Raw genomic sequence first — 12,526 nt, 5'->3', positions numbered from 1 at the left:
AAGTATGGAAATGTTTAAAATTGTATCATTGCATTGTCAAGTATATTCCTGAAAAGAGAGAGCTTCAATTTTAATCAGGCATCAATGAGACTTGAATCTTCCACTTATAGTTTTACACATCTAATAACAGGAAGAATTTTCTACAGACTGGCTTCTGGTTCCATACTTTTCACATTTACTTTTCCTCCCCTGCCCAAATACTTTTGGTGCCAGCACTGGAAGACACGTTCTTATTGGATAGCAGCCCTTCTGTTCCTGCATCTTCACGCCATGAGCAAGGTGAATGAACACAGCAACAGCAGAATGGCTAGCAAGGATTTATGTGTTCCCAAGGGTGACTGTGAACCACACAAATCTATGCTGTTAAACTGAGTCTAGGCCGGGCGCGGTGGCTCACGCCTGTAATCCCAGCACTTTGGGAGGCAGAGGAGGGCGGATCACGAGGTCAGGAGATCGAGACCATCCTGGCTAACACAGTGAAACCCCGTCTCTACTAAAAAGACAAAAAATTAGCCGGGCGTGGTGGCGGGCACCTGTAGTCCCAGCTACTCAGGAGGCTGAGGCAGGAGAATGGCCTGAACCTGGGAGGCGGAGCTTGCAGTGAGCCGAGATTGTGCCACTACACTCCAGCCTGGGCGACAGAGCGAGACTCTGTCTCAAAAAAAAAAAGAAAAAAAAAAACTGAGTCTATCCCAACTCAGCCTTCCCTTAGTCTCGTGGCAAAAGAGGTTGCCATTCCACCCCACTCAACAGGAGGTGAGTGACAGAGGGAGTAAGAGGGAAGAGAGACAGAGGTCCTCTCCAATTGCAGCTGAAATATCTTGCTTTCACAAATTTTACCCAAAAATATACAGCTCTGTAAACACGTTCCTCGGGCCCTGACAGGCGCCCTGACACTTAAGCTTCAGGAAATCCAAATTGGCTATGAGTAGAGGCTTAAAGTAAAACTCCTTCCTTGTAGGTAAGCTGCATGACTCTCTCTTCACTGCCATCAGGAGGATCAGGAATGCCACTGGGGCTGAGAAATAAACTGAAGGCAAGAGATAATGGTAGGCTCCCAAAGTGGTGGGAATCAATAAAGCAAAAGAGATGAAAGCAAGAGAAGAGGAGAGAGAAATGTGGTTAAAATGCGTGCAGACGGGACCTGATGAGGTAGAGTCTTGTGTGCAAGTGGGCGGAGTCCAATGATGGAGGTGTGACTAACAGTTGAGGGTGGGGCTAAAGACAAGGGTGGCCTAAGTGACAGATAAGTGGACCCTAAGGATCAAGGCCATGGACACGCAAAATGTGAGTAAGGCCCTTGCAGTAGGGACTTACCTGACAGGTAATGAACCGTGTCTAAATGTGAGTGGGGGATTGGAAACAAGATGGATGGGCCCTAGAAACAAGAAGTCAGGGGCACCTGGGCCAGGCCTTCTTTCCTCCCAAGATCAGAGATGGGGATAGGAACAGGAGGGGAGGGTCCCCCATTGAGCATCTCCCTGTTTTTCCTTTCCCCCAATCAGTTAGAGAAGACAGCCATAAAGATTCAGTCATGGTGGCGTGGAAACATGGTGCGCCGGACGTTACTGCAGGCAGCACTCAGAGCCTGGGTCATCCAGTGCTGGTGGAGGTCAATGCAGGCCAAGATGTTGGAGCAAAGACGGCGCCTGGCACTAAGACTCTATACCTGCCAGGAGTGGGCGGTGGTGAAGGTGCAGGCACAGGTTCGAATGTGGCAGGCCCGCAGGCGGTTCCTCCAGGCACGCCAAGCGGCCTGCATCATCCAGTCTCACTGGCGCTGGCATGCCAGCCAAACCCGAGGCCTGATCCGGGGCCACTATGAGGTCAGAGCCAGCCGGCTGGAGCTTGACATCGAAATCCTCATGACCTAGGGCGCTGACAGAGCCAAGGAGGCTGGATCTCTCTTCCAATAAAGACCCTTACTGACCATACACTTGCCCTTTGGAGATTAGACTCATGGAGGAGGGTTCAGCCTCTAAGTTTTCTGCCTTCCCCCCAGAAAGATTCCCTGGTGTGGTCTAGAGCCCCTGTCCTCAGGTCACCAACCTAGGCCCCTGTTCCTAACAGCATACCGGGACAGTCTTGCATCCAAGAGAGACCCCAGGGCCCAGGTCAAGCAATGATGCCTCAGTCAGCCTGATTTTGGCCCCTTCCACAGTGGGAGTAGGCATTGGGCTTTAGTTTCCTGCAGCCCCTGTCCAGGCATCTCCATTCAGATCAGAAGATCAGAGAATCTGGCTGCAGCCAGGGCCAGCTGGGAAGGCCAGGATTCCACAGGCCTGTGCTTGGCAAGGCCCTCAGGGCCGGCAGAGTGCTTGGCAGGGAGCCAGGAGGACATGGCACTTCAGCTGGGCAACAGCAGGACAGACGCTGTGCCTTATGGTGGGGAAGGGAGTCAGGGAGCAGCCAGCCAGAGCCAGCCCCTGGGGAAGCCAGAGCAGGAGCTGAGGGCAGCAGCTGTGCCTGCCGCCTGCCCACCCTGGGGCTGAACAACAAGGCTTCCCTCCCCTCTGCTGGGCACTTCCTTGGAGAACCAGGCATGGGATCAGGGAGGGGAGAGAGACTTGGGGGCTGTGGGGGGATGGTTGTGGGGGTGGCATGGGGGCAGGTAAACAAACAGAGGACTAGGGATAGGCAGGGGAAAGGGTTGTCCCTCTGCCACTGGAGGTCATTGGGCACACAGCCTCTAAATCCTATAATGTCCTCAGAAGCAGCTGTGCTCCTCCTCCACCCCCATGTCCCCTCTCTGGCCTCCCCCCAGGATGCCTCACCGTCTGCTGGGCCTGCCTTGGGTGGGTGCTGCTGGGCTACTGCTTTGCTAAGTCTCTCTCTGTCTCTGGGCACCTATGGCGCAACCATCTCTCATGTGGTCTCTCACTGTCTCTGGTTTGTCATCCATGCCCAAGGCCCCTCACTCTCAGCTTGTGTCCCTCAGATGTTTGTGTGAACCTCCATCCCAGAAGTCTGAGGTCTGCAACCCTCCGCAGGGTTTTTCCATGGTGGGCCCTGCAGGAGCGGTGGGAAGGGAGGTGTGCAGGGGTCTTCATGCCTTGCAGCTGGGTGACACTTTCCCTAATCCGTGTGTGTGTGTGTGTGTGTGTGTGTGTGTGTGTGTGTGTTGGGGGTGAGTCTCCAGAACAGCTGTAGCAGATGTGAGGGCTCAGGGTTCAGCCTGACACCCATCATCTGCAGTAGCTGCAGGTGGCAGTGAAGCAACTGGGTACCTGGACTTTCTGACTGAATCCCGCTCTTCCAAGGGAACCCATTCAGTGGTGCTGGATACAGCTCTGCCCACCTCCTACTCACAGCAGCAAGTGGTATGAAACTAGATAGGTCTGCAGCTGGGCATAATAGGAACTCTGCATGACTAACCCCTTAGGTGCTACCCCAAGAGTGAGAGGTGTTTAAAACCTGGATTGGCAATGGTTTAAGTCTCTGAGTTATATATTTTCAACATAGGACATTGCAATCCCCTAGGACACTAAAAAAAATAATGATACCTGGATCCACCCAGGGATTCTGCTTTAACTGGACGGGTATGAGGCCTGGCATCAGGATTCCAAAGTGCAGTCTTGGTTTGGGAACTGCTGAGTTAAGCCCTTCTCAGCTGGCCCATGTAGTCCCACTTGAGGATGCTCTACAGAATTTCATGCTGAACACAGGAGACAGGTCATCAAGGCTTCCTGCTCTCTGATATGCTAACAATGCCAAGTGAAATAGGAATCCAGTGGGAGCACCACTTTGGGTCAAAAACTTTTGGAAACAGGAAGACACAGCTTGGTAGCTGGGGGCTGAATGGGAGGGGCTTTTGAGGGGAACATGAGTGAGACCTCTTGTCCCAGATAGACAGGATCTCAAGAAGATGGCACCACCCAACTGTGAGCAATGAGACTCAAGGGCTAGCCCAAGAAAGCCAAGCTTCATCCAAAGCCTTCACCACCACTCCACTTTGGGTGTCCTGCTGGTGGTCAGGGGCCTTAAGAAGCTAGGGATGGTCGGGACCTGTGGGCAGTGGGCATTGGAGAGCCCCAAGGAAGAGGAGGTGAGTGAGGCATGGGATGGGAGTCAGGAGAAAGACTCCTCTTTAACAGTGAGGTCTGTGGCCAGTGTTGGCCTAGATCACTGGAGCCACTCTCCCCTCCTCAGTAGGGGTAAGGCTGCTGGTGGGACTCTCAGAGGCAGACCTCAGAGGCCCTTCCTGTCACTCCTTACTATTGCTGAGGATTGAGCTGCAGGAGGAACTCTTTCTGAGAACACGTATCATATGCTGAAACACTGAAGTGTAGAAGGGGAGGCTGTGCTTGTGGCTTTGGGATGGGAGTAGATCTCAGAGCACTCTAGGGGGACCGAGTATCCTCAATCTTGCTCCTCCCTCAGATGACATGGTGTCCCCAAGAGATATGTGCCCACAGCCCTCCCATAAATAAAGAATTGCATTGGCCCTCACACTGGCCCAGCCTGCTGAGGCCCTAAGAAGGTAGCTCAGTAAGTGAGGGCCCATCCCCTGCAGTTCTCTTCCACCAATGGGAAAGGATTCCCAGATGGCATCTCATCTCTTTGTCCCCAGGGTGCCCACCCTATGCTTTCAAGCCTCCCACCTGATACATCACCAACCTCAGCTCTGACCACACAGCCCCAGGGTCTCCAGAGCCTTGTCTTTTGCTTCTTTGTGTCCCACGTGCTAAATCCAAAATGAGATGACCACAGCCACCGCCATGCCATGCCAGGCAGTTTGAGTGGACTGACCAGCATCCCGCTGACCACACATACACCCATGTTACAGGAGGGCACCACCCTACTCCATCCCCACCCTGCCAGGGTGGAAATGCTTAGTGTGAAAAAGTCGATCAGCTTTGTTTCAAAAAATTGAGTTTGCTCAAGTCCACAAGTTAGTGGAAGCAGGCACTTATGTAGAAGAGCTACAGTGGGTTGAAAGAAAAAATGTTTCCTGGGCACTCTCAAAGCTGTGCTTTCATATCAAGTGTCAACAAATAGCTTTGCATAGAGTTTTACCTTTAAAAAGGTGACCATAGATTTTGAGAGTGAAAGGTGCAATCTTGATAAATACATTGGAAATACCAAGTGCAAACCATGACTGTCCTGGGAAAACCGGGAGGTGTTAGCAGCCTATTGGTAAGCCTCCGTGTGCAGAGGGTGGCAGGAGGTGGGGGTTGGGGTAGAGGGCAGAGAAATTTCCAGCTACACAAGAAGAGACAAAAGAAAAGCCCATGCATGACCCTGAGAAAGAGTGTGAGGAGGCTGAGGTACTGCTGCAGCCTGCTGCCTGCCCCTGCCCTCCACCTCTTTCCCTTGTGTCACCCCAATAGGCAAAGGGAGATCTGAGAATATAACCTGGGGAGACTGCATAGCTCAGAGATGAAAGGAAGCAGAAGCCAAGGGAGATGCCTAAGTGATGGGTCTGGGGACAGCTCCCACTGAGTCCTGTACACTTCCCTATGGAGCACGTAAGTAGCCAAGATCCCTGGGATCCCCAGATGGGGGAGGCAAGAAGTGCCAAGAGGACTGGTGGTCCCAAAGAGGCCTGAGATAGAGACAAGAAGCCACAGACTATAAAGACCTTGCCACCTGAGGCCAAGGCAGGGACCATGGGCATTGCAGAAGGTGAGTTTAGGTCAAGGGGTGGAGCACAGAGAGGTCCATTTCTCAGAGGTGGATTGAGGATAAACAACATGTCACCCATAACAGCAGCAGAACCGGTTGCAAGAATCAACCCAGGGTTGGGAGCAGTGGCTCACGCCTGTAATCCCAGGACTTTGGGAGGCCAAGGTGGGAGGATTGCTTGAGGCCAGGGGTTCAAGACCAGCCTGGGCAGCATTGTGAGACCCTGTCTCTAGTATCTCTCTCTCTCTCTCTCTCTCTCTCTCTCTCTCTCTCTCTCTATATATATATATATATATATATATATATATACACACACACACACACACACACACACATATATGTATATATAAAATATGTAATATATATATAGATATCAACCCAGGAGGAGAAAGTGGGGGATGTGAGTGGAGCATGATTGGCTATGAGTTGATCATTGCTGAAGCTGGATGATGACTACTGTCTGTATTTTTGGATATGTTTGAAAGTTTCCACAATAAAAATATGAAAAACTAATAGTATAAATACTGGAAGAATTAAAATTACTTCTGTACCTTCCATAACAGTTAAAAATTGCACTGGGCTGTTAGGAATAGAAACTTGAAAAACAGTGGGTTAAACAACACAAAAGTTTGTTTTCCTCTCCCGTAAATGAATCCCAGATGTGGGAAGTCCAAAGTATGGCAGCTCCATGATGTCAGCAGGGTCCCATCTCCTTTCCTCTGTCCACACTGCACCATTGGATGGGACCCTAGTCCTCATGCTGTCAAGATAACTCCTACAGTTCCAGCCATCATGTCTACATTCCAGGCAAGAAAATGAAGGACAAAAATAGAAACTGCTCATGCCAGCTGAATTTGTTTCTTTAAAAGGCTTTTCCTAGAAGGCTCACTTGCCCAGTCACCTCAATTTATATTTTGTTTGCTAGAACTGTTACTTGACCCTCCCAGCTACAAGGATGCATAATGCTACCATGACTAAACTCAGATACATCCAAATAGGCTAGACTGTGCTGCAGGACAAACTGCCTAATCTCAGTGGCTTGACTGAAGTGTATTTGTCACTCATGCGAAGCCTGCTGGAGTCCATGTAATGCACCACAGCAGCGTTCCTCCGTGTGTTTGCTCAGCATTCCAAGCTCCTCCACTCTGATACTGCCTTCATATGGATATGAACCTCTGTGATTGTGCTCTTGGCAGGGATGAGAGAAAAGCATCAGCAGTTATAGTCTTTCACTTGGAAGTGTCATATTTCACTTCGGCTCCTCTTCTGTTGGCTCAACTAGCCATGTAACTGTGTCTAACCTCAAGGAGAAGGGAAATACAATCTTCCCACCTGCCAAAAAGGAAAAGAGAACAAGAATGTTGATGAACAGAACAATGTCCTCTACATCTAGGTTCCATTTCTAAGGTAGAAGTGAACGTGGATTTTGGGGAGGCAATCAGCAGCCTCTGCCACAACTCCTAAAACAGAAGAAAAACATGAAGGGGAAAACTCAATCAATTCAACAGCAGCATGAAATGGAAGAAAATAATAAGAAAGCACGATAGATAGAAAACTCAAAGATGGATAAGTCTGTGTTAAACGGAAATGGGTAAAATGTGTCTATTAACAGAATCTCACATTGGGTTTTAAAAATACCCAACCATATGTTGTTTATCATGGACATACCTCAAATGAAAGGAAGCTGGAGGATGAAACTAAAAATTAGAAAAGGTAAAGCAGGAGAGAAAATTTAGCTGTTTAAAACACACTTAATCCTCTCTCCTGAGCCCAAGTAAAATGAAGATAAAGAAATTAACTTCACCCAGGAAAGCTCACATCATGAAGAGAGTGGGAGAAATGCTTTCAGTGGACAAGAGAGGACCACAGTTCTGGAAAGGAGAAAGCTAGAAGAGAAGGGTAAGCAGGAGGGAGGATGCTGAAGAAAAAAATGCTCAGAGGAGCGAAGGGATGAGGTTACTAGGATTCAACTGCAAGCATCTGATGCCAGTACCTGGGCTCTTAACCACTCTACAAACTGCCTCTTCAAGTGGACTTGTGACTCCAGCTGTAAGAAAGCCCTGATATAATGAAGTTTTTGAAAAAGAACACACACACACACACATACTCTCTCTCTTGCTCTCTCTCTCTGTCTCTGTCTTGCCCTCTGTCTCTCTAATTAAAATACTACACACATATACATTTAAAGGATAAAATGGGTATTGTGAGCAATGGGCACTTTTTGCCACCAAGAATAGTTCTGCAAAATGTAAAACAGCAGATCATTCCAAGTACTCCAAACTATTCTAGAGTATAGAAAGAATAGAAAGCCACCCAACTATCTATCATGCTGGCAAAGCACTGATGTCAAAACCAGACAAGTATACTATGAGAAAGGAAAATTTAGACTACTGTTAATAATAAATGTAGATGTAAAAACTCTAAATAAACTATAAGCAAATTGCAATCAAAATTCTTTCTATATATATAGGGGTTTCTCCAGGAAAATACTGATGGCTCAACAGTGAAAAATCCATCACTGTAACTATTTTAAAGAAGAAAAATCATGATTATAATTAAACACTCATTCCCATTTTTAAAAATTACTAGCAAAATGTAAAGAAAAGAAACTTTATACTAGCAATCCAAGGAATTAAAATCAAATACTGGCTTCTGACTTTCTAAAATAGACTCAAAATCTTGGAATAGACTCTTAAAACTAATGGCAGAGGCAAAAATCTTTTGATTGGCAAGAACCATGCTTTTTGAGGAAAAAACAGGATTTAGAGTTTCAAAAATTTCAAGGAATCTAGGCCTAAACTTATACTAAAAATACTAAATATAGAGCAAGTTGGACGGGAAACTAGAGAGCTTAGCTTGCCATGTGTCCCTGAGAAAGTGGCCTTTGTCCAGATCCATTCCCCCACAATAACCGTTGAAGGTGGCTAACAATCTCCATACAATTTGGAGAACCTGAGAGCAAGGATACCAGTGTTCTTTTCCTGGGTGGGGCCCAGAAAAGAAAGCAAGATCACAGTACCCGTCCACCAAACTCAGCCAGCAAGTGGTGGCAGCAACAGTGTAGAATTGGCAACATGGTGGCCTCAGCAGAGAGGGCCCAGGACTCACCCCCTCCAGTCTCCAAAGGTTGGGACTTAGCTACACATGTGAATGTGCAGATCTCAGCAGCCAATGCCAATATAGTGAAGGAGCTACCAACTAGGCACCTTACAGATCTGCCACAACAGTGCACTAACACCTAATATGTGCATGCCAACCTAGGGAGAAACAGGGGAGGGCAAGAAGCCCCTAAATGACTGAGAAACAAACAGAAGTGATTGAGTTTGTAGAAATTCATTAGATTACTATTTTAGCCAAGAGATAGAATATAGAATTGAAGTAGAATTACAGACAATTAAAATAAAAAAATGAAGTTTTTCTAGAACTAATAAATTGGTACATCAAGTTGCAGGATACAGGTTAACATGCAAAAATTGTTTTCCTGTATACAGCAATGAACAATTGCAATTTGAAATTTAAAACACAATCCCTCAATGGATATAGTTTCAGTTATCCAAGATGGATAAGTTTTTAAATAAAAATACATATACCATTTACATGAGGACAACTCCCAAAAAACAGAGAAAGAAAGGTAGATTTAGGTATGAATCTAGCAAAATATATGCAAGATCTATATGAGGAACACTACAGAACCCTGGTAAAAGAAATCAAAGAATATCTAGGTAGAGAGATATTACATATTCATGGATAGAAACTTCAATATTGTTAAGATTTCAGTTATTTCCAATTCAATCTAGAGATTTACCACAATCCTGATCAAAATCACGGATGTTATTTTGTGGATAGCAACAAACTGATTCTAAAGTTTACATGAAAAGGCAAAAGACCCAGAATAACCAACGTAATACAGAAGAAGAAGAGGAAGAAGGAGAAGAAGGAGAAGAGGAAGGAGAAGAAGGAGAAGAGGAAGGAGAAGGAGAAGGATAAGGAGAAGGAGGAGGAGGAGGAGGAGAAGAAGAAGAGAAGAAGAAGGAGAAGATGAAGAAGAAAGAACGAACTAACACTACTCAACCTCAAGAGTTACTATAAAGCTACAGTAATCAAGACAGTGTGGTCCTGGTGAAAGAATAGACAAATAAATTAATGGAACAAAAATGAAAGCCCCAAAATAGACCCATAAAAAACACAAAAATACAGTCAACTGGTCATAGAGAAAGGGGCAAATGCTATTCAATGGAGAAATGATAGTCTTTTCAACAAATGGTGCTGGAACACTGCAGATCCACATGCCAAAAAAAAATGAATCTAGACACAGACCTTACACCTTTCACAAAAATCAACTCAAAAGAGATCATTGACCTAAATGTAAAGTATAAGACTGTAAAACTCCTGGAAGATAACATAGAAAAAAATCTACGTGGCCTTGCTCTCAGCAATGACTTTTTAGATACAACACCAAAAGCATGATCCATGATGGAAAAAATTAACAAATTTAAAAAATGATAAAGTAGAATTAAAAACTTCTTGGCACTGTTAAGAGAGTAAAAAGAAGCCACAGACTGGGAGAAAATATTTACAAAAGACATATCTGATAGAAGACTGTTGTCCAAAACATACAAAAAAAACTATTACAAATCAACAATAAGAAAACAATCAATTTTAAAATGAACAAAAAAAAATCTAAACAAACAGTTCACTAAAGAAGACATACAGATGACAAGTAAACATATAAAACTTGTTGAACATGATATGCCATTGGGGAATTGTAAGTCAAAATTATAAATAATAAGATATCACTGCATAGCTACTAAAACGGCCAAAATCCAAACACTGACAACACCAAATGCTGATGAGGATATGGTGCAACAGGAACTCTCATTCACTGCTAATGGGAATGCAAAATGGTATAGCCCCTCCAGAGGACAGTTTGTCAGTTTGATTTAAAAAACAAATGAAAAACAACAACAACAAAAAACTAAGTAAAGTTTTGCCATATGATACAGCAGTTGTGCCTCTTGGTATTTACCCAAATGAATTGGACTTGTGTCCACACAAAATCTGCACTCAAATTTTTATAACAGCTTTATTAATAGCTGCCAAAAGTGGAAAGCAACCAAGATGTTCTTACTATTCAGTGATAAAAAGAAATGAGATATCAAGCCACCAAAGAAGACATGGAAAAAACCTTGAAAACATGCTGCTAAGTAAAAGAAGCAATCTGAAAATGCCAGGTACTGTATGACTCCCAGAATTAAATTAGCATCACTCAAATACGTATTGTGAGAAGTTGAGATACACATTGTAAGCACTTGAACAACAACTAAAAAAAACCTCAAAGATATAGTAAAAAATCAACAGAGAAATTAACATAATACACGTAAAATATTTAACACAAAAGAAGGCAGTAATGGAGGAACAAACAACAACAAAAATAGAAATAGAACAAAATACAGAAAGAAAATAGCAAAATGACAGACATAAATCCTGCCATATCAATAATTATATTAAATATAAGTAGGCTAAACATCACATTCAAAGAACACAGGTTGTTGGACTGGATTAAACAAACAAACAAAACAAAAAACCCACAAGTGACGCATCTTACACACAATAGGTTGGATGTAAAAGGATGGGAAAAGAGGGCTGAATGGCCTTATCAGACAAAATAGACTTTAAGAGATGAAATAATACTTGAGACAAAAAGGGATATTTCATAATGATAAAATGATCAACGCATCAGGAAGATGTAACAATTATAAATATAACAAAAGGGCCCCAAAACACATGAAGCAAAAACTGGCAGAACTGAAAGGAGAGGGAGAAAATGCAACAGTAGGCCAGGTGCAGTGGCTCACGCCTGTAATTCCAGCACTTTGGGAGACCGAGGCAGGCAGATAACTTGAGCTCAGGAGTTCAAGACCAGCCTGGCGAAACTCTGAGTCTACAAAAAATACAAAATCAGTTGAGAATGCTGGTGCATCTAGAGTTTCTCCCTGCATATATTTGCATACCTTCCAGCCCCACATCTAACTCCTTAAAATTCCCCAGGCCAGGTAAGGTAGCTCATGCCTGGAATCCCAGCACTCTGGGAGGCCAAGGCAGGAGGATCGCTTGAGCTCAGGAGTTTGAGGTCAGCCTGGGCAACATGGCAAAACCCTATCTTTACAAAATATATAAAAATTAGCTGGGCATAGTGGCATGTTCCTGTAGTCCTAGCTACTTGGGAGGCTGAGGTGAGAAGATGGTTTGAGCCTGGGAGGCAGAGGTTGCAATGAGCCAAGATCATACCACTGCACTCCTGCCTGAGTGACAGAGCCAGACCCTGCCTCAGAAAGAAAGAAAGAAAGTAGAAAGAAAGAAAGAAAGAAAGAAAGAAAGAAAGAAAGAAAGAAAGAAAGAAAGAAAAAAGAAAGGAAAGGAAAAGAAAAGAAAGGGAAAGAAAGAAGAAAAAGAAAACGCAACAATAATAGTTGGAGGTTGATATGGTTTGTGGTTTGGATCTGTGTCCTCACCAAATCTCATGTTCAATTGTATTCCGCAGTGTTGGAGGTGGGGCCTGGTGGGATCATGAGAGTGAGTTTCTCATGAATGGTTTAGCATCATCCCCTTGGTGCTGTTCTTGTGATAGTAATGAGTTCTCATGAAATCTGGTTGTTTAAAAGTGTGTAATACCTCCCATGTTGCTCACTCTCTTATTCTTGCTCCCACTCTGTGAGATGCCTTGTTCTCACTTTGCCTTCCATCATGATTGGAAGCTTCCTGAGGCCTCTCCAGAAGCAGAAGCTGCTATGCTTCCTGTACAGCCTGCAGAACTGTGAGCCAATTAAACCTCTTTTCTTTATAAATGACCTAGTCTCAGGTATTTCCTTATAGCAGTGCAAGAACAAACTAATACAAAGGT

General features: G+C 44.8%; 1 protein-coding gene and 1 long non-coding RNA gene across 4 annotated transcripts in view; one reads left to right on the top strand and one right to left on the bottom strand.

The window, feature by feature from the left end:
* Positions 1 to 12,526, bottom strand: part of LOC105377087 (uncharacterized) — a 51,385-nt gene that overhangs the window by 25,526 nt on the left and 13,333 nt on the right. The window lies entirely within an intron of this gene.
* IQCF6 (IQ motif containing F6) lies at positions 1,260 to 1,934 on the top strand. 3 transcript variants are annotated; one of them, NM_001368368.1, is made up of 2 exons: positions 1,260 to 1,287; positions 1,506 to 1,934. In NM_001368368.1, exons 1-2 carry the CDS (start codon positions 1,273 to 1,275, stop codon positions 1,872 to 1,874), a joined length of 384 nt encoding a protein of 127 aa, NP_001355297.1. In that variant the 5' UTR covers positions 1,260 to 1,272; the 3' UTR covers positions 1,875 to 1,934. The 3 variants fall into 3 exon arrangements, with proteins under 3 accessions (NP_001355297.1, NP_001137305.2, NP_001355298.1); NM_001143833.4 differs by having other exon boundaries at positions 1,260 to 1,324; NM_001368369.1 differs by having other exon boundaries at positions 1,260 to 1,344.

Source organism: Homo sapiens, chromosome 3 (genome assembly GCF_000001405.40).
Source record: "Homo sapiens chromosome 3, GRCh38.p14 Primary Assembly".
Taxonomy (NCBI): Eukaryota; Metazoa; Chordata; class Mammalia; order Primates; family Hominidae; genus Homo; species Homo sapiens.
This window is presented reverse-complemented; position numbering and strand designations above follow the sequence as displayed.

Coding starts and splice junctions, on each gene's coding strand:
- IQCF6 (NM_001368369.1), top strand. CDS start 1,273: ATGGACACGCAAAATGTGAGTAAGGCCCTTGCAGTAGGGACTTACCTG. Junction 1,345..1,505: donor GTAATGAACCGTGTCTAAAT/GTGAGTGGGGGA, acceptor TCCCCCAATCAG/TTAGAGAAGACAGCCATAAA.